This window comes from Homo sapiens, chromosome 8, assembly GCF_000001405.40.
Source record: "Homo sapiens chromosome 8, GRCh38.p14 Primary Assembly".
Classification (NCBI taxonomy): domain Eukaryota; kingdom Metazoa; phylum Chordata; class Mammalia; order Primates; family Hominidae; genus Homo; species Homo sapiens.
Window position 1 is genome coordinate 143217976 of NC_000008.11, and position 27257 is coordinate 143245232.

Sequence of the window (27257 nt, forward strand, 5' to 3'; positions counted from 1 at the left end):
GCCAGTACCCATCCCCACACCACCCCCACACCCCCTCAACACCACCCCCAACACCACCCAACACCACCCCCACACCACCCACCACCACCCACCACAAGCCCCAACACCACCCACAACTCCACCCCCCACACCACCCCCAACACCACCCCCAACACCACCCAACACCACCCCACACCACCCCCACACCACCCAACACCGCCCCCACACCACCCACCACCACCCACCACAAGGCCCAACACCACCCCCACACCACCCCCAACACCACCCCCACACCACCCCAACACCACCCCCAACACCACCCCCACACCACCCCAACACCACCCCCAACACCACCCCCAACACCACCCCCAACACCACCCCCACACCACCCCCACACCACCCCCACCACCACCCCAACACCACCTCACACCATCCCCAACACCACTCCCAGCAGCTCACAGAGGGCTTTCTCCTGGCACCCACTCAGGCTCTGAGCAGGAAGAGAGGGTATCGTGCTTAGCTGTCTACGGTGGGCCCTGTCACAGCCCCCCGAGGTACGAAAGCCTGCAGCTGCGACATGAGGCTCGAGCTCAAGGTCACACAGCTGGGCGGTACAGATCCAGGATCCAGTCCCCGGGCTTCCTGCCAACCGCACCCAGCTTCCCAGAGGTGTCCCAGGCTCCAGGACGCCTCAGCTGGGGAGGAGCTGGATGCCAGCCAAGAGCCAGCCAGATTCCCAGGCCAAGTCGAGTCTGAGCCAGGCAAGTCAGCGGTGCCAACGGGCGGATGGTCACAGCCAAGACACCCTGGGCCCCGTCTCAGAGCCCAACGCATGCTGTCAGTCTCAAGAGTGAACATAGAGGGACCTCCCTTTCTCATCCAGCCCAGCAGCAGGGAGACTGGGGGCTGGGGGGCTGGGCAGGGAGGGGGCGGGGTCTGGGCAGGGAGGGGGCAGGGCCCTGGCCCAAGAACCCATGTCCCTCTGTACCAGTTTCCCAGGGCTGCCATAACAAATCACCACGAACCTAGTGACTTAACACAAGTTCATGCTGTGGCTCTGGAGGTCAGAAGTTCACGTCAGGGCTCTGGCTGGGCTGCGTTTTCTTGGGAGAGAATCCACCCCCGCCCTCTCAGCTTCAAGAGGCCACCTGCTCTCCTTGGCTCATGGCCCTTCCTCCACCTTCGAAGCCGCTCCAACCACTGCTCCCTCACCAGCTTCCCGAGTCAGCTCTCCCTCGGCCTCCTTCTTACAGGGATCCTGTGACCACAGTTAGGACTCGCCTGGAGAATCCGGAGCCATCTCCCATCTCAGATCCTCCGCTTCCTCATGGCTGCAAAGTCCCTTTTGCCATAGAAGGCACATTCACAGGCTTGAGGATTTGAACCTGGGTATGTCAAAGACCTTTCCTGAGCCCACATCAGCCCTTCCCTGGACACCTGCTCCGAGACTAGCTGTGCTCTGGAAGCCACGGTCCTGGGGAGGATAAAGCCCAGCTCCCTGGCTCAAGGGGGCCACAGTCCCAGGAAGGAGGCCTTGCCGGGCCCCTGGTGGCCACAGTCCAGAAGTCAGTCCCACAGTGGTCTCTTCCTGCCCCAGAAGAATTCAGACCCCTTCGCCTGTGCTCATCACGAGAAGCCGGGCAGAGGCTTGTTCTCACTCTGTCTCTCCCGCACCCCTTGGGTCTGCCCACACCCAGGTCTCCCCGCCATCAAAACTGACCAAGACCAGGGTGCAGTGCCTGACTCACTCATGGGACAAACCCTAACCACGCCTCCCTCCTGACTCAACTCATGGGACAGACCCTAACCACGCCTCCCTCCTGACTCAACTCATCGGACAAACCTTAACCACGCCTCCCTCCTGACTCAACTCATGGGACAGACCCTAACCACACCTCCCTCCTGACTCAACTCATCGGACAAACCCTAACCACGCCTCCCTCCTGACTCAACTCATGGGACAAACCCTAACCACGCCTCCCTCCTGACTCAACTCATGGGACAGACCCTAACCACACCTCCCTCCTGGCTCAACTCATCGGACAAACCTTAACCACGCCTCCCTCCACCATGAGCTCTGGCCACTCCCACATAAGGACACACGAGGACACAAGGGGCGTCTGACACCCCCGGGACTGGGCCCCCAACCTCTGCCCGCCAGCCATTCGGGGACAGGTGGACTCAGATACGTGGGTGGGGGAGACCTGGGTGTGGCAGAGCCGAGGGAGTGCAGGAGAGACCGTGAGAGCAGGACTCTGCCTAGCACCCTGGAGATCCTCCCCAGAACCCACCAGATCCATCCCTTTCCTCCTCCTTAGGGACTGGGGCCAGCAGGCACTGCTCCGGCACCCACTCTCTGGAGGATGGAGCCAACGTTGCCTTGGAAACGGGCATCCAGGAGTGGAGTTCATTCCTAACACGTTCGGCTTTTTGTCTCTTAATTCATTGGACTTAATAATGACGTCTGCGCAGAGGAGGAGCAGGGGAGGAGGCGGCTGGAGAAGCTCGCCTCCGAGGCCAACTCTCCCTCAGCCCTGCCTCTGCCCCTGGTGATCCTCTGAGCCCAGGATCCGGTGACTCAGTGGTGTCCCCAGCAGGCTCTGGAATGCACTGCAAGTCACACCACGCCCTGGGCAAAAGCCAGCTCCCCCTTCCCCTTCTCTCCCCTCTGGGCTCTGAAGGCCACAGGTCAGCCTCCCCTGGAGCCCTGGCTTGCGCAGCCACCGCTCTGCCTTGACCCTGCAGCGCCTCAGGCTCCTGCCCCCTGCCTCAGGCTAGGGAGCCCAGGAACCCAGGGAAAGGGAACCCTGCCACGCCCCTCCCCGAAACCTCTCGCAGCTTCTAACTCCCCGGGCCTTGGCTCCGGACCACTGCTTCAGGAAACACAAACTCCACCTCCCCGTGAAGAGACCCAGCATCTGAGAAACAAGATGAAGGGAAGGGGGCAAAACCTCGGCTGGATGTCATCCTACCAAAGGCGTGGCGGCGTCCTTCCTCCCTGGCCCTCAGCCCTTCCCGGAGCTCCGGGGCCAGCAGGGGCATCCAGCACTCCGAGTGGGAGGGGAAGCCTCTCGGCGCCTGAGCCGGTCAGCCCGAGGTCTGGATCAGGCCCCAGTGCTTTCAGTAGCAAGGTACAGGAACCGAAAATCCTGTCATTGCAACTTTAAAATAGAAGTTTCATTTTGCTCCCGTAAAGAGAACTGTGGAGGCAGGTGACTGCGGGGAACCCCTGAACGAGCCAGGGATGAGTGAGCAGGGCCTGGCCATGCTGTCGGGGAGACCCTGCTTAAGCCGCAGGGAGTCAGGGAGCACTGCCCTTCATGTTCATCCGTGGTGGCCCTAGAATTGCACCATCAACCAGAGTCTGCTTCTGGCAAAAGGGCCCGGGGGTCTCCGCCATCAGACCACTCACCGCAGGCCACAGCTCGGATGGGTACGGGGCACCGGGGGAGGCGGCCAGTGCGTTAGACTCCCCCGATGCCCCTGGGGAGGGCCGGGGGTGCGGCCAGGCCTGCGTGGGCGGAGGGGTCCTGTCCAGGTGGTCCCGGGCCTGGAGACCTGCTCCTGCCCCTCCAGGCCTCGTCCTCTTCTGTAAAGGGGAAGCTGGCCCAGGAGCTTCCGGTAGCTTCCAAGGGAACCTGGTCAGCCCGCAGGAGACTGGGTAGGAGGAGGGGATGCAGAGATGCCTCCAGAACACGGCCTCCAGCCCGGTCACCGCGCCGCCTGCCGTCTGGGGAGCGCGGGTCACAACCAGACCAGACCCGGAGCCACCTGGGGCAGGGGTTAGGCCTGGTGCTAGGGTCCCGCCCCCTCCACCGGCCCTGCCCTGGAGCCACCAAGGGCCACCAACAGCCGGTCCTCCCCAGCCGAGGGCGACCCGAGGAGCTGCCGACCTCCGCACCCAGCCTCTGTCCCCTGCCCCCGGCCTCTCCCCAACCCTGGGCTCTGCACCCTACTCCAGGCCCCTCTCCTGGGCCTCTGTTTCCACCGTCCCCAGCCACTGACCCCCACCCTGGACCTCTTCCCCCCAACCCCGTGCCTCTGTGCCCCCCTTCAGCCTCTGTCCCCTGCCCCTGGCCTGTGTCCCCAGGGGGACTCTGTCCTGTTCTCTGTGCAGCGTCCATGTGGGTTCCCCAGGGACCATCGCCTGAGCACTTTGGCAGCTCCGAGTGGCAGCCACGCCTTCCAGGTCCCGGGTGAGAAGGCCCTGCAGCTCTCCGCCGTGCTCTGTGCACACGTCACCATCTACTCAGCAAGCCCCTGGTGTTCCTGGCGGCATGAAGGTGTCACGGCCCTTCCAACAGAGCGACTCCATCCTGAATAGGGGCTGAGTGAAATGAGGCTGAGACCAGCTGGGTTCCAGGACCTTGGGCGTTCAGTCACCAGATATTACAGTTAAGGGAACAAGTGAATAATGTTTACCAAAAAGACCCAGGAAATAATGTCCTGATGTCCGATCTCTTAGGAACAAAAGCATTCTTAGCTTAAGAATGAGTTTCGCTTTGAACATAGTAACATAGATTCTTGCTAGACAGTAGTTACACAAAGATAAACAATCCTTTGTCAGGAGCCCCGGCAGCGGAGCAACCTCCCCCGTGATTTTTTGGCTTTCTTGTCTCACATAGAAACTCCCACTACACCTGAGGTGGGCCCCTTCCTCCTCTTGCTTTCAGGAACTCCCTGCTCTGTCTACAGAGTAGCCATTGTTTTATTCCTTTACTTTCTCAATAAACTTGCTTTCTGTGGATTCAACCTGAATTATTTCTTGCACAAGATCCAAGAACCCTCTCTTAGGGTCTAGATTGGGACCCCTTTCTGGTAACTAAGGTAACTGGCAAACCAACCTACAACCTGGGAACCCTGGGACCCAGGAGCCCCAGTGGTCAGGCCCTTCCTTTCCTTGAGGCTCTGGGGGCGCACCCCAGGGCTGGTGCTGGCATCCTCGCTCCTTCAGGATCCTTGGAGTCAGTTTTCCCTGGAACTTGCCCCATATTTGTGACAGTAACTAGACTGTGGCCAGAAATCCCCTACCCCTGAGCTGGAGCTGCCCCTTGTAAGCCAAAAGTGCCTGAGATGGGTCTCAATCAATTTAGAGGTTTATTTTGCTAAGGTTAAGGATTGTGACCCTTGACACAGCCTTAGGACATCCTGAGAGCATATGCTCAAGGTGATTGGGGTACAGCTTGATTTTATACCTTTTAGGGAGACAGAAGTTACAGGCAAGGCCACAAATCAGCACACGTAATGTATATCCTGGTTTGGCCCAGAAAGATGGGACATTTGGAAGCAGGGGCTTCCAGGCCACAGGTGGAAAGCTTCCCTGATTGACCATTGGCTGGAGGGGTCAAGCTCTGCCTGAAGAGTTGAAATCAGCTAGAGTCAAGCTAAGAGGGGTGCAGGAGGGTGTGGAAGCCAAGGTTCTTGCAGCCAAGCCGCTTAGCAGCTTCACCTCAAACCGCGTTTTAAAACTTCTTTTTATTTCCCCTCTTCTCCTTTCTCCCCAGTTTCAAGCCATAGCTCTGGAGATAAACTTTACAGCCTCGGAATGTGCTGTGACCTCCGCTCTCTTTTCCTGTTCTGTGCTCCAGGCCTCATGCACACTTATTTACGTGGAAGGTTGTTAGGCGCGCACTATGCTCACCAATCTGGTCATCTGTTTCCTTAAAACCTTCAAGGGTCAGATCCTGACACAGACCAGACACCTCTGGAATTCTCTCTCCAGCAAAAGGTTACTTCAAGGCAGGAACCCACTCCCGTCTAGAGACTGACAACAAGATTGACAACAATTAGTTTATAACCTGGTAGAAGCCACGCTGGCCCCTGCACCAGAAGGAACAACAATTCAAGACAAGCCACGGGAGTGGGTCATGCACCTGGCACCTCCTCACCCCCCAGCCTTTTCTGCAAACCCTCTCTTTAAAATCCCCTGCGTGGCAGGGTGCGGTGGCTCACGCCTATAATCCCAGCACTTTGGGAGGCCGAGGCAGGTGGATCATCTGAGGTCAGGCGTTCAAGATCAGCCTGACCAACATGGTGAAACCTCATCTCTACTAAAAATGCAAAAATTAGCTGGGCATGGTGGCGAACGCCTGTAATCCCAACTACCTGGGAGGCTGAGGCAGGAGAATCGCTTGAACCTGGGAGGCGGAGGTTGCAGTGAGCCGAGATGAATCACTGCACTCCAGCCTGGGCCACAAAAGCAAAAGCCTGTCTCAAAAAACAGAAAAAGAAAATCCCCCTGCGTTCCCTCCACAAATGGAAGAGTGGAATTGCTTTCTGCTACGACGGATAATAAAGTCTCATTCTCCATCACACCTCGTTACTATTTTGGCTTCCTTCTACAAGCCACGGGTGGCCAGACCCTTCTGCCCATTACATTATCTTGTAGATGAAGCCTCCAGGTAATTCTTGTAGAAAACTTAGAAAGTAATGACAATGACCTACACACCACCAACCAACTGATTTATGCCAGGTTTTTTTCCTTGTCCATGTTTTGGAGTCTTTTATCTAGTTTATCGAATGACTGTTTCATTCTGGACAAACTCCGCGCACAGCTTTGTCTCCTGCGTTTTTGCTGGGATCAGGTCATGGCCATCTGGAGCAGCGTGCATTTCAGCAGCTTGGATGGTCTGTGACGGAAACCAGCTAGGGGCCTTTCAAACCTCAGTGGCGCTGGCACTTATCACTAGTAACAGTCTTTATTTCTGCTCTGTAGAAGGAGCTTGGCTTTGATATCCTTGAGGTCGGTGGAGTGACGTGAGGAAGCACTGCCGTTGTGGTAAGCCCCCTGAGAAGGGAGATGGTTCCTCGCCACCGGCCTCAGCCTCCCCAGCTGTACAGGGTACGGTGATGTCCTGCAGAGATTTTAACAGATCTTGGGACCCCCTCTTGCTGCCTCAGTGTCATTTCCCACCAGCCCTGGACTGTCCCCTCCAGAATCTCTAAGTCCAGGTGACAGCAAGGTGCACACTGCTTCTTGTCACCCTCCTGGCCACACTGGCTCACTTACACTCAAGAACAGCCTCACAGAGGGAAAGAAACTCATGCAGCAACCCTGCCGGTTACAAGTTAGTGTTTTTTTTTTCTTTTTTTTCTTTTTCTTTTTTTTTTTTTGAGACGGAGTCTCTCTCTGTTACGCAGGCTGAGTGCAGTGGCGTGACCTCGGGTCACTGCAACCTCTGCCTTCTGGGTTCAAGCAAGTCTCCTGCCTCAGCCTCCCGAGTAGCTGGGACTACAGGCGTGCACCAACACGCCGGGCTAATTTTTGTTTTTTTGTTTTTTGGTAGAGTTGGGGTTTTACCCTGTTGGCCAGGCTGGTCTCGAACTCCTGACCTCAGGTGATCCTCCTGTCTCACCTCCCAAAGTGCTGGGATTACAGGCATGAGCGACCAGGCTCAGTCCTTTTTTTTTTTTTTTTTTTTTTTAACAAATTGTTGTTTTCAACATGTGCTTTTGCATAGGCAGAGAAAACTGTCTGGAAGCGGGAGCAAACTCCTGGGAATTGCTTTCAGAGACAGCAGTGGGGAGGGCGCTGCTTCTCACTTGAGGTACTGCTCTTTCATTTGGATCTTCTCGGCAGGCATGCTAATTCTGTAATGAAGAGTCAATGTCAATAAAAGAAAAGATGTATGTGGCTGAATCCCCACAGCAACTAGGCCCCTGCTCTCCTGTCTGGGGCTTGCAGGAGGCCTCCAGGGAGGTGACGCTCCACTGAGCACTGAAGTCAGGGAAAGAAGGGCGGGAAGGCAGCGCAGAAGCAACTGGGAAGGGGTGGGGCTTCCAGGAGAGACTGGGAGCCCCCCGCAGCCCAGCAGGCCTTGGGGTGCTGGGCAGGGTGCTCCATGCTGGACCAAGGTGAGTGGGCGCCCAGGTCCGGGATCTGGGATGTCAGCCGCAGGAGCAAGGAGGTGGTGGTAGGAGACAGCATGGCCCTGAGGGAGGCCCCCCTTGCCCCCAGCTTCCCCTACTGCGGTGCCCGTGAGTCATTCCCGGGTTCATTCCACAAACCTTCCCAGAACTCTGTGCCAGGCACTATGTGGGAAGTGGGGCTGGGGCTGGGGGAGACGCATCTTAGTGAGAACATCCCAGACCCCACAAAGCCCAGGCTGGTAAACACAGGCACAAGCGGAGACAGCCGTGTGGTACAGGGAGGCCTGCCTGGAGGAGGGGGTGCCCAGCTGCCTGGCCCCCTGCATCCTGCGCCTCCCCACATGCAGTTGGTCCCCCTGAAGTCCCTCCTGGGTGCTTTGGGAATATGTATGAAGGGCCCCGAGGGCCTTTCCATACTCCAGCCCCACCTCTGCCCTGGACTTCTCTCCCCAGCCCAAGCCCCATGCTTTAGACCTTCCTGACCCAAAAGCCCCTCCTGTTCTGAATGAGGAAACTGAGGCCCAGGCAGAGGAAAGGACTCAGCTTTTTGTTTTCACAAAGGTTGCACAAGTGATGCAACTTTCCTCACAACACGACGTGGGGGCCCCCAACTTGCAGGCCAGTGCCCCGCCCCGCAGCACGCTCCTGCCCCATCGTTGTATGGACTTAGCACCCCTCACCTTGGCTCCCCCGTCCCAGGCCCAGGCTGGGTCTTTGTGACGGTCTCATGCAATCCCACACAACTTGTGAGGTTGCTGTTGCACTCCATTCTGCAAAATGCGGAGGCTGTGAGGAGACCTGTTGGAGCCAGGATTCAAGGAGCTTTCTCGGCTCCGGAGCACAGGGCTGCCTCTCCCAGGGTTTTCCAAATTCTGGGCTCTGCCTGCTTCCTCTGTCCTCCAGTGAGCATCCTGACTGCCCTGCCCTCTCCATCCTTCTCTGACCCCCAGGCTCCTTCTGTCCTGCACCCATCAGCTCACAGTTTTATGTTGCTGCCGCCTGGGGTCCTGCCCAGTGTCCCAGTTGGTGGGAAGCTCCTGAAGGGCAGGCCGGTGCAGGCACAGCTCTCTGAAGAAGGTTCTGAAGTTGTTGTTAAGACTGCAGTGGCCGGGCGTGGTGGCTCACACGTGTAATCCCAGCACTTTGAGAGGCCAAGGCAGGAGGACCACTTGAGCCTGGGAGTTCCAGACCAGCCTGGGCAACATAGTGAGACACCATTTCTACAAAATAAAAAAAAAAATTAGCCGAGCATAGTGGCGCAGGCCTGTAGTTCCAGCTACTCAGGAGGCTGAAGTGGGAGGATCGATTGAGCCCAGGAGGTTGAAGCTGCACTGAGTGAGGATTGCACCACTGCACTCCAGCCTGGGCAACAGACTGAGACCCTCTCAAAAAAATAAAATTAAATTAAATTAAAATTAAAAATAAATAAATAAAAGAAAGAGACAGAGACTGCAGTGAAAGAGAATCTGCAGAGAGGAAGGGGCTGTGTGTGACTTTGCATCCACAGGATTTTAATTTATGGAGGTGACTGTGCTGGCACAGAGAGGCCAGTGCCATGAGAGAAGTGCCGTCATGCCTGGGAGGATGTGAGGATGAGCGATATGACAGGAATGAGTGTGGGGTCAGCCCCAGGCCACCTAACAGCCAGGCCAGAGGTTGCCTGCTGGCACCTGGGCTCTGACCTTGTGTCTGAGCCCCACAAGACTCCAGGACCCTCTGCACCCCAGGCAAGACATGCCTACCCACTCGGTCTCCTTCAGAACCACGGACAGTGCCGGCGAGCACCACGCGCCACTGACCTGAGCTTCTAGTTAATTCCATATGGTGCCTCTGCCTCCTCCAGACTCAGCTGTCACCACGACCTGGCCAGCAGCAGGACCACCGGCACCCAGGTCTGACCTCAGGCTCCATCCCCTGCTGGACCCATGGGACCTGGCCCAGTGGCACCAGAATACCTGGGCCCCACCCCTGCCCTGGGCCCCACCCCTGCCCTGCGCTGCTGTTTCCTCAGCACTTGCTGTTTCCTCCCAGGCCACCTTCCCAGCAAACTCCCATTTATTTATCTATTTATGAAACAGGGTCTCACTCTGTCACCCCAGCTAGAGTGCAGTGGTGCAATCATAGCTCACTGCAGCCTCACCCTCCTGGGCTCAAGCGATCCTCCCACCTCAGCCTCCTGAGTAGCTGGGCCCACAGGCATGTGCCACCATGCCTGGCTAATTTATTTATTTTTGGTAGAGATGGGGTCTCACTATGTTTCCCAGGCTCATCAGCAACTCCCGTGCTCAAACGATCCTCCCACCTCAGCCTCCCAAGTAGCTGGGATTACAGGCGTGAGCCACCACACCCGGCCTCCTTTGTCGTTTAAATCCAAATATCGCCTTGTTCTGCAGGCCTGACCACCTGGGTCCTCGTGGGCTGGGCTCCTCTCTGTACTCCCGTTCCATCATAACCTGCCTCCCCTTCCACAAGGAGCACTCAGGGCGCCAGGGGCTGCGGTGGGTTCCCTGCCCCTCTGGAGCGTAGCAGCCTGTGCCCAGTGTTGGTGCCTGCGGGAGAGGGAGGCGGGGGGGAGAGGGAGGCGGGGGGGAGAACAGGTTCAGATCCTGCTGCTTCCCTTTCTGTCCTGGTGGCCAAGGCTACCTGCACAGGTAGATGAGGAGGGCACTTCCTTTCCCAGTGGGCCCTGGGTGGGATCATGGAGGGAGCCCTCGAAGGCATCTGGAGCCCGGGGCGGGTGCTCAGTCGACATGCACCCCTTCTGTGGTCGGACCCTGCTCCTGGCTTCCTCCCAAGCCCCCGTGCCTCCTGTTCGCTGTTGCTCTGAGTGCCGTCCAGGCACAGGCCCCAGTCCTTGGTGACCTTCCAGGCCACGCCTCTCAGCCCCGACACCTGCAGGGGCTTGGGCCCGTCCAGAGAGCACCCCTCCCTGGAAACCTCCGGGGCCTGGAGCCTGGGGCAACGCCTCTGTGTGGGCCCCGAGGTGAGAAAGGGACCTGTGTGGCCTGGAGTGAGATCCCACTGGGACCGGAGTGTGGACCTGCTGCCTGCCAGCTGTGCCGTCTCAGGCTGGCCATTTAGCCGCTCTGTGTTCGGGTCTCTCGTCCACGACACTGGGAAAAACCAAGCCCATCTCACGGGACTGGTGTGGAGATTTTCTGACCTTCGGCCGCCACACCCTGGCATGTGCTGGGCGACCCCTGCCCTGCCTCATTGCAGTCTGTTTCCCAAGCCGGGTTCTGGTTCCTTGCTTGTCCCCACCCCCCACAGTGTTTCGGACCCTCCTCCGGCATGGGGTCTGCCCGAGGCCCGGCTTCTCACACACACCCCTGCCACACCTACGCACCCTTAATAGGGAGGGACCAGCAAACCCACGGGGACCGAGCCCCACCCCCAGCTGGCTCACCACCCACCCAGAACCCAGCCCTGGGGCCACCATCTGGCCCCTGTGACCCTGCACCGGCCCCTGTGACCCTGAACCGCCCCTGACCCAGGAGCAAGTGCAGTGAGAACACCCTGTTTCCTCCTGGCTCAGGGCGGCCGTGACCTGCAGCTGGAGTGAGGGGCACTTGGGCCTGGCTCCAGGGATAGAGGAGGGGGACCTGCCCAGCATGCTGACCCTGCTCGAGTCTGTTAGATGGGTCTGGGAGGGCCTGCCTCCCTCTTCCACACAGACCCTGAGGGCTCCTCCTCTCCAGCATGGCAGCCTCCAGACCGAGTGCGTCCCGTGCCCACGCCCCGTCCCCCGGGTCGCCTGTCCAGACCGAGTGCGTCCCGTGCCCACGCCCCGTCCCCCGGGTCGCCTGTCCAGACCGAGTGCGTCCCGTGCCCACGCCCCGTCCCCCGGGTCGCCTGTCCAGACCGAGTGCGTCCCGTGCCCACGCCCCGTCCCCTGGGTCGCGTGTCCAGACCGAGTGCGTCCCGTGCCCACGCACCATTTCCCGGGTCACCTGCTCAGACCAAGTATGTCCCAAGCCCGCGCCCATTCCCCGGGGTCACCTGCTCCTTCTCCACTCACCCAGAGGAAGGTGACAGAATGTGGGGATCTGCTTTAATCTGATATCTTCCTGGGGATTTCCTGTCCCCCAGGACAGGAAGCGGGCATCCACTGCTGGGCCTCCGGCTCCTTGTTCTAGTCTGTGGGAACTCGCTGGAGAAGGAGGCAGTGTCCCCAAAGCAGGAAATTCCTAAGGAAGGAACCTCTGCCTTCGGTCCCAGGCAGACCCTAGGGACGCTTTCCTGAGACCACTGAGGTCTGCAGAAGCTAATGGTCACCGGGATGGGTCAGCTCTGCAGGAAGCAGGGCGAGGCCACCGCTCCTGCACCCAGGTCCCTGACAGGAGATGCCCGTATTGGGACCTTTCCAGAGGAGAGAGGCGTCCCCAGCTCCTGTCATGGAAGCAGGTCATGCACCTTCAGGCTGGCCTCAGACCAGGGCACAGCCAAGGCTTCCTGCCCTCTAGGGTCTGCAGGTGGGAGGGGAAGGGGGTTCAGCTAGTTCCATGCTGGATACCGCGGGGTGCAGGGGCTTCCAGACATCAGGAGGTGGGAGCGCTGCCTGACACTCAGGCTTCCAGCAGCAGAGACCTCACGGGGGTGAGCCCTTTCACTGCCGCTTTGGTGGTGCAGGAAGCCTGGACCCAGCTCCCGGCTGGGGCATCCCATGAACAAGAGGAGGGTAGGAACCCAGCAGAGGACAACCTCCTCGACATAAAAACTTCTCCACAAAAGACCCAGGGAAGAGGAAGGAAAGACAAACTACAGACTGGGAGAAAATGTTTGCAAACTGCATAGCGGACAATGGACTGGAATCTACGATCTATTCACAACGTATCTCAAAATTCAACAGCACAAAAACAACCCACTTACAACATGGACAAACGACGTAAAGAGCTATTTCCCTGACGAGGACACGCAGAAGGCAAACGTGCACAGGAACAGATGTTCGACACCACGCACCCTCAGCGTTCCGACACTAGAACCACGGTGAGGCTGCAGCGATGGCTCACTCATGTCATCCCAGGACTTTGGGAGGCCGAGGGGGGTGTATCACTTGAGCCCCAAAGTTCAAGATCAGACTGGGCAACATAGCAAACCCTGTTTCTAAACAAACAAAAAATTCACGGTGAGATCTCATTATACACCTATCAGAACGGCTAAATAAAAAATAAACTGTTGCTGGATGCGGTGGCTCAAGCCTGTAATACCAGCACTTTGGGAGGCCAAAGCAGGAGGATCACTTGAGGTCAGGAGTTTGAGACCAGTCTGGCCAACATGGTGAAACCCTGTCTCTACTAAAAATATAAAAATCAGCCAGGTGTGGTTGTGCGCTCCTGTAATCCCAGCTACTCAGAAAGCTAAGGCAGAAGAATTGCTTGAACCCAGAAGGTGGATTATGCAGTGAGCCGAGATCACACCATTGCACTCCAGCCTGAGTGACAGAGAGACGCTCCATCTGAAAAAATAAAAATAAATCAAATAAATAAATAAATAAACCATGACCACCCCACATGTTGATGGGGAGGCAGAGAAGCTGGGTCACCTACCTGCTGCTGCTGGGAGTGGACGATGGAGCAGCCGCTCTGGAAGACAGCTTGGCTGTTTCTTATCAAACTAGACACGCAACTCCCACGACCCCCTGATGCGCCCCAGAGAAATGAAAGTCATGTTCATACAAAAACCTGCTCATGAGTGTTCACAGCAGCTTTACTTGTTTTAGGCAAAACCTGGGAAGCAGCCCAGATGTCCTTCAATGGCAAAGGGTTCAGCTGGTTCCATGGGCACCAGGGGAGACAGCCCAGCCACAGGAAGGCGGTGCCGCTGAATGGCATAGCCGCCAGGGGGAACTACAGAGACTCTCCGGAGTGAAAGTGGCCTCTCAACAGGCGGCCTCCAGGACAACTTCCTCTGCACAGCTCCCTGCAGCCACAATTCTGGAAATGGAGAGAACCAATGAGTGGCCACAGGGGCTCCCAGATGCCCCTCCCCACAGCGGAGGGTGTAATATTGCACCAAGTTATGCAAAATGATAGCCTTGGGTTGGGCACGGTAGCGCACGCCTGTAATCCCAGCACTTTGGGAGGCCAAGGCCAGTGGATCACCTGAGGTCAGGAGTTCAAGACCAGCCTGGCCAATGTAGTGAAACCCTATCTCTACTAAAAATACAAAAAAAAAAAAAAAATTAGCCAGGCGTGGTGGCAGGCACCTGTAATCCCAGCTACTTGGGAGGCTGAGGCAGGAGAATAGCTTGAACCCAGGAGGCAAAGGCTGCAGTTAGCTGAGATCATGCCACTGCACTCCAGCCTAGGCAACAGAGTGAGACTCCATCTCAAAAAAAAAAAAAAAAGAAAGAAAGAAAAGGTTACCCTTGGAAGAAACCGAGCGAAGCATATAATGAATGTCTCTCTGTTATTTCTTACAACCATATGTGAATCGACAATGACCTCATTACAATTTTTAATTGAAAACTAAAGGCGGCTGGGCATGGTGGCTCATGCCTGTAATCCCAGCACTTTGGGAGGCCAAGACGGGCAGATCACGAGGTCAGGAGATCGAGACCATCCTGGCTAACACGCTGAAACCCCGTCTAGACTAAAAATACAAAAAAATTAGCCGGGCATGGTGGCAGGCTCCTGTAGTCCCAGCTACTTGGGAGGCTGAGGCAGGAGAATGGAATGAACCTGGGAGGCGGAGCTTGCAGTGAGCCGAGATCGCGCCACTGCACTCCAGCCTGGGTGACAGAGCGAGACTCCATCTCAAAAAACATAAAATAAAATAAAATATTTTTAAAAAACTAAAGGCAGACTATTTTTAATAAAAGCAGGTGTCCGAAGCGTCAGGGAGCCCCGCTGGAGGGAGAGCCTGTGGGCGTCCTGGGGAGAATTGGGTGCCAGGTGCTCACCGGACCCCTGGAGCCCAGTGCGGGGAAGCTGTGGCAGGGAGCATGGAAGGCTCTGCGCAGATCAGCCCTCCCTGGGCACTGAAGATCTTCCCTGGAGGGAGGGCCTGTCATGGAGTGGGAACATGCTGGGGGGCGCACAGGCCCCAGCCCTTCTGCCCCCTAGAGAGGGAGGCCCTTGGCCAGGCACGGTGGCTCACGACTGTTATCTCAGCACTTTGGAAGGCCAAGGTGGACAGATCACCTGAGGTCAGGAGATCAAGACCAGCCTGGCCAACATGGTGAAACCCGGTCTCTACTAAAAATACACAAATTAGCCAGGCGTGGTGGTGGGCACCTGTAATCCCAGCTACTTGGGAGGCTGAGGCAGGAGAATCACTTGAACCAAGAAGTGGACGTTGCAGTGAGCCAAGATCACGCCACTGCACTCCAGCCTGGGTGACAGAGGGAGACCCTGTCTCAAAAAAAAACAGAGAGAGAAGGAGGCCCTTGCTCACATGTCAGGATTGAGGCCCAGGAGACCCAGGGGTGGGCAGAATGTGAGGGACTGAGAGCTCAAGGCTGAGTCGGCTTGGAAGAAAAGTCAAGGTGATTGAGCTCCGTGTGAACAAAGCTGGTTGTGTGCTGTTTTGCTATTGTTGTTGTTTTGTTTTTTTTCTTTTTCTTTTTTTTTTTTTTTTCCAGAGACAGGGACTCACCTTCCCACCCAGGTGGGAGTGCAGTGGCGTGATCTCGGCTGACTGCCGCCTCGACCTCTCAGGCTCAAGCCATCCTCCCACCTCAGCCTCCCAAGTAGCCGGGACCACAGGCACGCACAACCACACCCAGCTAATTTTTTGGTGTTTTTTGTAGAGACAGTCTCGCTGTGTTGCCCAGAATGGTCTCACACTCCTGAGTGCAAGTGATCCTCCCGCCTTGGCCTCCTAAAGTGCTGGCATCACAGGCATGAGCCACAGTGCCCAGCCATGTTGTCGTAGTTTGGGTTTGGTTTGGTTTTATTGTGTGTTTTGGCACAGCCCTTGCTCAAACCCTGCAGAAAACAGAAGATAGGTATGTACTGACTGGTTTCAACTAGTGTGGGAAAACCTGGGTACCCTCCCCTCTGTTTCCCTGAAGGCGCCCAGGCCACCAGCTTCATGAGCACCCAGCGGATAGGGTGTGCCTGGTACCACCACAGGAAGGCCAGCTCTGGACACAGGGAGGACGCACGAAAGGCCGAGACAGTGCCCAGCCAGTGCGGATCCTGTACGCCGGCTGCTGGGTTCTCCTCCCTGTGGCCATCCACCTTCATGCTCTGCCCTCACACCCTGGGGCCATGAGGCCAGACAGACTGGGCTTCGATCTGCCATGTTCCTGGCATGCACTTTAGGTGGGCGCGCTGCTCCAGTTCTCCCTCTGTGCCATGACAGCAGCTACAACTGAGGGCCCTGGGTGCACATGAGTGTGCAGTGAAGGTCAGGCATCCGTGAGGTCCACCGTCACACACTCCCAAGGGACCCCCAGCCAGCGCTGCACAACCACCAGGGCCACAGCAGCTCTGTCTTAACCATGTGCTGAGTTGTCTCGTAAATCAGTCCCAAAGCCACACACAAACCCTAGTATCACACAGACCTCCCTCAGGTGCTGGGGGCCCTGGTCCAGTCACCCCCTGCCTATTGACCACACTCCTCCACAGTGATGCACCCCAGTGCTGAGACCTCTGGCGGACTCATATAACCCTCCCCCCAGCACTGTGGTTCGGGTCTATCTCTTCCTGGGCCCAGGTCTCTTCTACCCAGGATCCCGTCTCTCCCGGACTGTGATGTGGGCGGCCTCGGCACTATGAGGCCAGGTGTCTGCCTTCCCTACAGACACTGGACTCTCGTATCTTCCCCGCTGGCTCCCTGGACCCAGGGCAGTGCAGCTTGGTTGGCTCAAGATCACAGCTCACCCCCGCTGAGGATTCCAAGGAGCATAATAGCTATGACAAAAATAATCTTAGAACAGACCTCTTCACATCCCTGAGAGGAGATGACTGTGACCTTCATCACTCCCATCTTACAGATGAGGAAACTGAGGCACAGGAAGGCTAAGTGCCTTGCCCAGGACCAGACAGCAATTCTGAGGCAGTTCTGGGATCTAAGCACAGGTGGCCTGGCTCCTGGGTCCACACACTCAACCCTACCCACAGCCCCCTCAACATGGTGGGGCCATCTGTGCTTCATCATGCACAGTGGCCTTCCAACCTCTGCCAGCTGCACAGAACAGGTGTGGACAAGGCCTTGGCCATGCACCATACTCAGGATGGTCTCTGCCTTGGAGAATCATGAGGCAGCACTGGTCTCCAGGGCCAGGTGGGCTGATGTCCAATGCTGGCTCAACAGCTTACTTGTTGTGCAAATCAGCCTGGTCCCCTGCCCTCTCTGAGCCGTGGTTCTTCATCTGTAAAATGATGATGTCCACGGCTCCTACCATATTGAGCTGGCAGGATCACACACACAGCACCTGCCTACAAGGATTACAGGATCACACACACAGCACCTGCCTACAAGGATTACAGGATCACACACACAGCACCTGCCTACAAGGATTACAGGATCACACACACAGCACCTGCCTACAAGGATTACAGGATCACACACACAGCACCTGCCTACAAGGATTACAGGATCACACACACAGCACCTGCCTACGAGGCACATGGTGCAGGACTAACATAGTCCTGGCGGTTATCCAAATGGCCAATTCACCAAAGCCAGTGTGACTGCTTGCAAAACGGCCACAGAACTTGCACCTGTTATCTGTTGCTATATAACCCATTCCCCCGACATGTACTGGCTGGAACAGCAAGCGCTTCTCTCAAGCTTCTGTGGGTCAGGCTCACAGGAGCAGCTCAGCAGGTCCCTCGGGCTCAGGGTACTTCATGGGGCTGCAGCCGTGCTGTCGGCCGGAGCTGTGTCGTCTGGGGCTGGCTCCCAAGATGGCCCCACAGGCGGCTGCTTCTCACTACATGAGCGTCTCCATCGGCTTCTGGGTTTCCTCACAACATGGCGGCCGGCTTCTCCCAGAGCAAGTGACCAGAGGGTGAGAGCAGTCGGACGCCATGGAGCCCCTTGGGACCTGTGTCTGAAGTCACTCTGTCTGGACCTCACTTTATTCCGTCTGTGGAAGTGAGTCACTCAGCCCAGGCCACACTCAAGGAGGCGAATGAGGTTCTGTCTCTGGATAGGAGGAGTGGCCAAGAGTTTTGCCCCAGGTTCTAAAATAGAACCATTTCGTTTTCACTGACCACTTCCATTCGCTGTTCGTTACAGCTCTGTAAGAAAAGGCGCGTCTGTGTCCCAGGTCCTGGCTGCTGCCAGGTGACAGAGAGATGGGAAACAGAAGGTTGTAAAGAAATATGCCCCCAAAATACATTCCTGACTATGCGTCCTCACGGACAGACGCTCCATGGCCATGTCTGTATGCGTGGGAACACAGCCATGGGCCATGGTATTTGCTGTCTGTCCCTCTGCCAGGACAGTCCCTCTGCTGTAGACAGCATGGCATGCCCACCATCCCTCCTTCAGGCTTCCGAGGAGGCTTCCCCGAGGCCATGCTGCGGTGCTTGAGGGTTGCAGGAAGCAAAACCGCGAATGAGGGGGGCTGCTGCTGGTGTGAAGCGAAGCATGGACACATGTTCTTTGTTCCAGCACCCCGAATGGAGAAGCCTAACCCTTCCCCACTTCCCCCACCACTGTCACAGTCAGGTGTCTGCCAGGTGTGCAGCCCACTCTTCCTCTGGGCTGCTTCTCTGCTCCTGTGCTGAGACTATGCTGTGCCAGTTACTGTTGCTTCCAAAGGGCTGTGTCTGCTTGAGCAAACTCTCTTCCCGTGTTCTTCGTTGGTTCCTCAGCTGCCGTGTCTTACCATTGGTATGTCCATGTAAGTTCTAGAATTAGCTTTCCTTTTTCTTTAACTTTTTTTTTTTTTTAAAGACTAGGTCCACTCTGTCTTCCAGGCTGGAGTGCACTAGCACAATCATGGGTCACTGCAGCCTTGGCCTCCCAGGCCCAAGCGATCCTCCTGCCTCAGCCTCCCAAGGAGCTGGGACTACAGCACGTGCCACCATGCCCAGCTAACTTTTTTTTTTTTTTTTTTGTAGAGACGGGGTCTCATTATGCTCCCAGGCTAGTCTCAAAATTCTGGGTTCAAGTGATCCTCCTGCCTTGGCCTCCTAAAGTGCTGTGATTACAGATGTGAGCCACCATGCCCAGCCTAGCTTTTCAAGTTTACAAAAGTCTTGCTAGGATTTTGACCGGAATTGCATTGCATCTGTAAGGTGAAATTGAGAGCTGATATTTTAAAAATATTAAGTCAGGCAATTCACGAGCCTGGGCTTTATCACCATTTATTTGGGTCTTGTTTAATGTCTCACAAAAACACTGTATAATTTTCCCCATGAAGATCCTCCATATGTTTTGTTGGGTTTACTCCAAGTTACTTTATGCCTTTGATGTTGTGAATGGTGTCTTTCCATTTTCATTTTCATTTTGACCATCAGAACTGGCTTCTGACGACCCTAAAGTAGAATCCTCACCCCTAGTTAGGACCCACGGGTCCCAGAGCCCTCACATCCTCCTCTCTGGCTTCCCAGAAGACCAGCTCGACAGGGGCCTCCTTGGGCACCCAGCAGCCATTGCTCTAGGTGGACCAGCGGTGGGGTGAGAGGACTCTGCCCACCCCGGACCCAGCTCCTCGGCTTCCCCTTCTAGGAGTTCAACTGAATGGGCAGTGAGAAGTGGGGACTCTCCAAGCCAGGCCATGCACCTGCTTCCCAGGGCTGGCCTGAGGCCGGCAGATGCCCTTATACCCTACCTGGGGCCCGCTCCTCTTGCCTGCCCTGCCTTACTTAACATCATAAACTTCATCCTGGAAAGAACCCTGATGTGATGGGTGGGCAGTGCCCTAGGAGGGGCTCAGACCCCAGTCCACGTAAGGAGATTCATCCTGCAGAGAAACCCCGTGAAATCCCAAGGGGAGAACATTCACCCAGTGAGTGCAATGAACTCACAGAAACGTTCAGGTCTAGGTAACCTGTTACCAACACCAGAGAATCCACACAGATAATTTGCACAGGAAGAAGCCCTGGCCAGGTGTACTGCTCACGCCTGTAATCCCATGCTTTGGGAGGCCGAGACAGGCAGACGGCTTGAGCCCAGGGTTTCGAGATCAGCCTGGGCAACATAGCAAGGCCTCGTCTCTACAAAAAAAAAAAAAATGAAAAAATTAGCCAGGCATGCCGTTGCACGCCCATGGTCCCAGCGACTCAGGAGGCTGGGGCAGGAGGATCGCTTGACCCAGGGAGGTTGAAGCTGCAGTGAGCAGAGATGGAGCCACTGCACTCCACCCTACGTGACAGAGCGAGACCCTGTCTCAAAAAAAGAAAGAAAAAAGAAACCTTGCAATGATCCTGAGAAAGGACTTTTAAATGTAGCGTGGAAGAGCTGGACAAACTGCAGCCTTTTGGTATGTCCATGTAAGTTCTAGAATTAGCTCAGAGAGTGGGTTTATGCTGGAAGGGAGCTTCCTCTACTGCCCAGCCTGTGCCACCCTGGATAAGTTACCTCTGAGTGAGTCCGTTAGTGGGTGAACATGGGAAAGATTACGTAATTGGAGAATAAATGGATTTACCACCAATGTCTTGTCATAGATTATAAGCCCGAGGGGCGGGTGTTAATTTTTCCAATTAAATTGGTGTGACATATAATTAAGGAATGTGCTCACAGGTAAGGAGCTGGGGTTTCATGGAAGAATGATTCTGCTTAGTGGCCTGACATTTTTGTGTCTCTTGCTTGCTCTGCATGCAAAAGCCTCACCGGTTCACTTGTTCACGCGGTCTCCTCGCCTGTGCTCCAAAACAGAGATTCTGGACCCCGGCCACACACAAGAATCATCTGGGGGTGATTTTTCAAAACGCTGATGCTAGATGCCAGCCCCTCTGCCCCTACCCCAGCTACAGTGGGATCTCTTAGAGGTGGGGGACTGGTCAGCATTTCTCCAAGCTCTTAGGAGTTTCAAATGAACAGCCCGAGCTGTGCCCCACTGCACCAGGGAGCTTGTGCCATCTGCTGCCACTCAGGCCCTGCCTGATCATCAGAGTCACTGGGAAGCTTCTAAAATTACAGGTTATGAGGCTTAACCCCAATGGCATTCTGTTTGACCAGCTCTTGGATGATGTCTGGAAATCCCTTTTTTTTTTTTTTTTTTTCTTAAAAAGATTCCAAACTGATTCTGATTATGAGCAGGTTTAGGAACCAATGCCATAAAGGGCGTGAAAACCAAGGTAGCAGCTGTCCCGCCAGGCAGGGAAGACCTGGGCACTCCCTAGGCCCTGCCATGCCCCACACCATCCTGGGCATCCTCCATCTTCACACCATTTGGTCTTCATTGAAGATCCCATGAGATCCTGTTCCTACCCCGTCATGCAGGAGGGACCGCTGAGGGCATCTGAACATTGTGCAGGAGGGAACGCTGAGGGCATCTGAACATTGTGCAGGAGGGAACACTGAGGGCATCTGAACATCGTGCGGGTGGGAACGCTGAGGGCATCTGAAGTTGAGGAGCTTGCCCACATCAGCAGTGGGGTGCAGGGGTTGGAATCCAGACCCAGACCCGCCTGCCTTGGCTCCATCCCACCTGCTGTCCGAGACTCTGGGCGCCTGCCTGTGGATCCAGGCTCCAGCACACCGCTCAGCAGGCCCCACAGTCCTGGGAGGTCCAAGCCCTGGAACAAAGCAAAGCGCAGGCCTGCGTCTACACACCTGTCTCTGTGGGCTCTGTTCCTCTGATGCAACCCTGACGGATCCATTAGTATGACTGGAATGTCCTTGGGATCAAAACTCACTTTTTTTTCTTCTTTAGACAGAGTCTTGCTCTATCGCCCAGGCTGGAGTACAGTGGCACATTCTCAGCTCACTGCAACCTCGGCCTCCTGGGTTCAAGCGATTCTCCTGCCTCAGCCTCCCAAGTAGCTGGGATTAGAGGTGCCCGCCACCATGTCCGGCTAATTTTTTTTGTATTTTTAGTAGAGACGGGGTTTCGCCGTGTTGGTCAGGCTGGTCTCAAACTCCTGACCTCATCATCCACCTGCCTTGGCCTCCCAAAGTGCTGGGATTACAGGCGTGAGCCACCGCGCCCGACCGGAATCAAAACTTTCTAACTTCTAAAAGTTAGATTCTGGCTTCTAAAAGTGTGGCGCTGTTTTAGGATGGTTTTAGGATGGCTCAGTCCATCCAGTGGGAAGATTCTTTAAGCCCCTTGAACGTTTGGGCTGGAGAGAGAGTGAAATGAGGGCAGAGGTGCTGATTGGCCCCACACCAGTCACTGACAATGGCAGCTCCCGAGACGGCCATGGGTGCAGCCAGTGGGCACATTGCCCCCATTTTAAAATAACTTATAAATTACAAGCCAAGTTTAGCAAGTGGGTACTGCACTAAGGGCTTTGTGAGGACTTTTCACGTAGCCTTCACAATGACCCCACAGGGCAGGTGCTATCATCTTGCCCCATTTGACAGGAAATCTACTGACCATCCCAAGGCACACAGCCAGCAGTGGTGCTGATGTCCAGGCCCAGTGCTTTGACACTGTCGAGTTTCTTAAACCCTCTGAGCCTTCATTGTTTTATCTGCAAAGTGGAGACACCACCAGCAGTGAGTCAAGCACGAAACTAGGTGATTGATGCCTGTGCCCAGGATGCCGGGAGGATCTCAGCCACAGCTGTTGCCTGTGCCAGCCGCTGCGGAGAAGGATGCCACAGGCACAGGGCACCAGGGCGATGGGCTCTCCAGGGGCAGTGTCAGTGGCTCAGTCACCCACTGAGGCTGGTATCCCAGGCTCAATGCCCACAGGGGTTCCAGTGCAAGTCCTGGGCCCCAGGAGGACCCGCACCCCAGGGCTCATCAGTCAGCCAGTCAATCAGTCCACAGGCACTAGCTGAGCGCCCGCTGTCTGTGAAGCACCCTGGTGGAGCTGACGCTCTTATCCTTGGGCAGTAAAGAAGCGAACACTGCGGTTCAGGAGTTCAGCACAGCAGTCCTGGGGTCACTGCTAAGGTTCTCGTAGCCGCATTAAAAAGGGAAAAAGAAGCAAACGCAGGCCAGGCGCGGTGGCTCACGCCTGTAATCCCAGCACTTTGGGAGGCCGAGGTGGGTGGATCACCTGAGATTGGGAGTTCAAGACCAGCCTGACCAACATGGAGAAACCCCGTCTCTACTAAAAACACAAAATTATCTGGATGTGGTGGTGCGTGCCCGTAATCACAGCTACTTGGGAGGCTGAAGCAGGAGAATCTTTTGAACCCGGGAGGCGGAGGTTGCGGTGAGCCGAGATTGCACCACTGGACTCCAGCCTGGCGGACAAGAGCGAAAATCTGTCTCAAAAAAAAAAAAAGAAAAGAAAAGAAAACACAAAATCCCAGTGAGCTCTCTCTCCAGTGTCCTGCACAGACCTTCACAAAGTAAGGGCCACCCAGGAAAACTGCACAGAAGAGAGAAAAGGAACTGGCTGTGGGCCTGAGGTTGCTCTCAAAACATTTTCCAGAAAAAGAAAGTCCATCTGAGTGCCAAAATACAGAAAAGTGTCTACATTTTGGAAAGAAATTTAAAATGACTATGGAACAGGTGCAGCGGCTCACGACTGTAATCCCAACACTCTGGGAAGCTGAGGTGGGAGGACTGCTGGAGCCCAGGAGTTTTAGACCAGCTGAGGCAACAGAGTGAGACTTGGTAGCCAAAATAGTAAAAGACTGTGGGACACAGGAGGATAGTCTTGGGAAGGTAACGCAGGAGAGAAGAGGGTTAAAAGTTAGGGAGGAGTAGTCGGGTGCAGTGGCTCACCCCTGTAATCCCAGCAATTTGGAAGGCCAAGGTGGGTGGATCACCTGAGGTCACGAGTTCAAGACCAGCCTGGCCAACATGGTGAAAACCTGTCTCTACTAAAAATACAAAAAATTAGCTGGGCGTGGTAGTGGGTGCCTGTAATCCGAGCTACTCGGCAGGCTGAGGCAGGTGAATCACTTGAACCCAGGAGGCGGAGGTTGCAGTGAGCCCAGATTGTGCCATTGCACTCCAGCCTGGGCAACAAGAGTGAAACTCCGTCTCAAAAAAAAAAAAAGTTAGGGAGGTGCAGCCTTTGAAAGTCAGGTACTAAAGAGAAAAAGAAGCAAGAAGGGGAAATTAAGATGCTGAAAGACAAAAGACCTTTTTAAAAAGTCAAACATCGACCAGGCACAGTGGCTCACACCTGTAACCCAAGCACTTTGGGAGGCAGGGGCAGGCAGATCACGAGGTCAGGAGATCAAGACCATCCTGGCCAACATGGTGAAACCCCATCTCTACAAAAAATACAGAAATTAGCCGGGCACAGTAGTGCACGCCTGTAGTCCCAGCTACTTGGGAGGCTGAGGCAGGAGAATTCCTTGAACCCTGGAGGTGGAGACTACAGTGAGCCGAGATCACGCTGCTGCAGTCCAGACTGGGCGACAGAGCAAGACTCCATCTCAAAAAAAAGAAAAAAAAAATCAAACCTCACAGCACCCTTCTCCACTGACTCCCCTCACCCCCTGCAAAAAATAAATAAATAATAGAGAAATAAATAAAATAACAGGCACTAAGTAAAGAAACCATACCTTGTTACCCTGACATGAAAGGTCCCTCTTGGACTAAGAATCTCATAAAATAACTGAAACTTCTGTCCACAGACATGCTAAGGGGTAACTTCATCTATTTAAAACCACTATAAAAAGAAAGGGGAAAATGAAAAGATGATTTAGCTTATGAAAATTCCCAAAATAATGCCAGGTGTGGTGGCTCACACCTGTAATCCCAGCAGTTTGGGAGGCCGAGACAGGCGGATCATCTGCGGTCAGGAGTTCAAGACCAGCCTGACCAACATGGAGAAACCCTGTATCTACTAAAAATACAAAATTGGCCGGGTGTGGTGGCACATGCCTGTAATCCCAGCTACTTGGGAAGCTGAAGCAGGAGAATCACTTGAACCCGGGAGGCAGAGGCCGCAGTGAGCCAAAATCACACCATTGCATTCCAGCCTGGGCAACAAAAACGGAACTCCATCTCAAAAAAAAAAAAAAAAAGAAAAAGAAAATTCCCAACCCACCGACCCTGTGGGGCTGGACCCTACATAATATACTGCAAAAATCAGGGCTTCCAGGCAGAAACATCAAATAACTTTCAGGAGCATGAGAATTAGATGGGCCTGAAACTCCTCAAAATCAATAAAAATGAACATAGCAACAACGAAGCAGCATTTTCAAAAATCTCAAGAAAAGGGAGAAAACAACGAACTGTGCAGCCATTCAAGCTTTCCTTCAAGGAATTACAGCTTCAAGAGAGCAGTTTTAAACTTGCCAGAGCTCAGGGGTCCTGCAACTATAGGCCCATCAGGAGGAACCTCCTAGATGGGCTTCCTCCAACCACAAGCTGCTTACGGGTCAGCCGTAAGACCCACGGGGGTGATACATTGAATGGTAGACCCAACATAGAAAGAGAAGTGCAGTCGAGAGGGGAAGAACCATATGTGCTGTGTGTGTTCTGACAAAGTTGAAATGGCATGACTTCAAAAAAAACACCAGGAAGAGGAGGAGGAGTGGGAGGAGGAGAAGGGGGGGAGGAGGAGGGGGAGGGGGAGGGGGATGAGGGGGAGGGGAGGAGGGGGAGGGGGAGGAAGAAAAGGGAAAAGCTCCCGGGTGGTTGTGCAGGCAGTAGGGAAAAGTGAAAGGGCACCATTCAATCCAACAGGCCAGACAGTAAACCACTCAGGAGGAAAGCAGTTCTCTGTCCCTCTCTAAGCTAAGAGACCGAAGTGTTTGTCTCCTGTCCTCAGTCCTCTTCTCTGGTGGCTGTCCCCTGCAGAGCAGACTGGGACCCCACTCACTAGCAATAGGACTCCCACATCGGAACATAGGACTGTGACCCAGAGGTGCCCAGGCAGCCATGAGAGGCAGCCCGCCACCCAGAACAAGAGGCCTGGGCTTCCGGGCAGCTCCAGCCTTTGCAGCACGCAGGCAGGGCACAAAACAGGGATGTGCGAGAGAAATGAGGAGCAGAGACATGGCAGAGCCTGGGGCCCCCAGCCCCTCTTCAGAGAGGCTGCCTCTGTGGGAAGCTCTGCAGGAAAGGGGTCCTCAGCCCTTGGAGCTTCTTTCCATATTTACAGGGTAGCTGGAGCGGGGGGGTCTGGTGACAATGGGAGATTCCGGGCCAGGGAAACAGCCTCTGCCCACATATCACATACCAATGGTGTTGGCACCAAATGGAGTCTCTGGTGGGCCGGCCCAGCCACCACCACGCCTGAAGGGACTGGAGGGGCCACCTGGCTCATTTAGAAGGCAAGGGGCTGTCTCTTTTGAGATAGGGGAAGGACACCTTTCTCCTTCTTCTGCTTTTGTTTTTTGTTTGTTTGCTTTTGTTTTTTTTTTTGAGATGGAGTCTCGCTTTGTCACCCAAGCTGAAGTGCAGTGGCATGATTTCAGCATCACTGCAACCTCTGCCTCCCAGGTTTAAGCAATTCTTTTGCCTCAGCCTCCCAGGTAGCCAGAACTACAGGCACGTACCACCACACCCGGCTAATTTTTGTATTTTTAGTAGAGACAGGTTTTCACCATGTTGGCCAGGCTGGTCTCGAAGTCCTGACCTCAAGCAATCCACCCACCTTGACCTCCCAAAGTGCTGGGGTTACAGGCATGAGCCACTGCGCCCACCCTGCCATTCTTATTCTCAGTCTTATTCTCTCTGTCCCAGCCCCATCAGTCATCAATTGCTCAATAAATATGGATTAGGCACCTGCTATGGGCTATGTGTTGGCCCCCGATAATACAAAGATGAAAAAGACAAGCCCTGACCGAGGGTCATGTGCAGCATGTAACCTGTATGGACAGCTACCCACGCAGCCTTGGCCTAAGGCTGGCAGGGGCGAGGCCGGGGCTGGCACAGAGGAGCTCGAACAGGTGGAGTCTTAAAAAGCAGGAAAGGGTCTGTCAGGCGGAGGCGGAGCGGGGGTGTTCAAGGCCCAGGGTTGAGGCATGCAGCCGATGCTGTGTGGCAGGGCAAGCACTTGCTGCTGAGTCTCCTGGAAGGGGAAAGGGTGGTGAGAGGGGCGGCCTGCAAGTCTGTGCAGGCCCCTTTGCAGCTGCTAAGGGGGCCCAGACCTCATCCTGCAGGACAGGCGTGAAGCTGGGAGGGCCACTGTGGGTTTGCCCGGTAAGTCAGTCCCTCCAGCTGCTGTAGGAGGGGTGGACAGGGGAGCCCAAATGAAGGCAGGGAGACCCCAGGGCAGGGCACAGAAGTAATGCTGGTGAGAGGAGATGGGGTTGCAGCCGGGACAGAGGAAGCAGGCTGGACAAGAGTGGGTGGTTTAAAACATTGGGAGGTAAAAGCAACAGGATGGGAGAGGGGGGTGGGACGAGGAGGGAGCAGAACTGCCTGGTTTTCAACACCTTGCTAAGTCCAGGAGGCAGTTGGAGAGAGGGCTGGGT

General features: G+C 55.3%; 1 long non-coding RNA gene across 1 annotated transcript; it reads left to right on the forward strand.

Moving 5' to 3' along the window:
• LOC124902036 (uncharacterized) lies at positions 1892–4726 on the forward strand. Its single transcript, XR_007061138.1, has 2 exons — positions 1892–3110; positions 4097–4726. It is a non-coding gene; the product is annotated as an uncharacterized LOC124902036 (long non-coding RNA).
• Positions 4727–27257: the final 22531 nt, after the last annotated feature.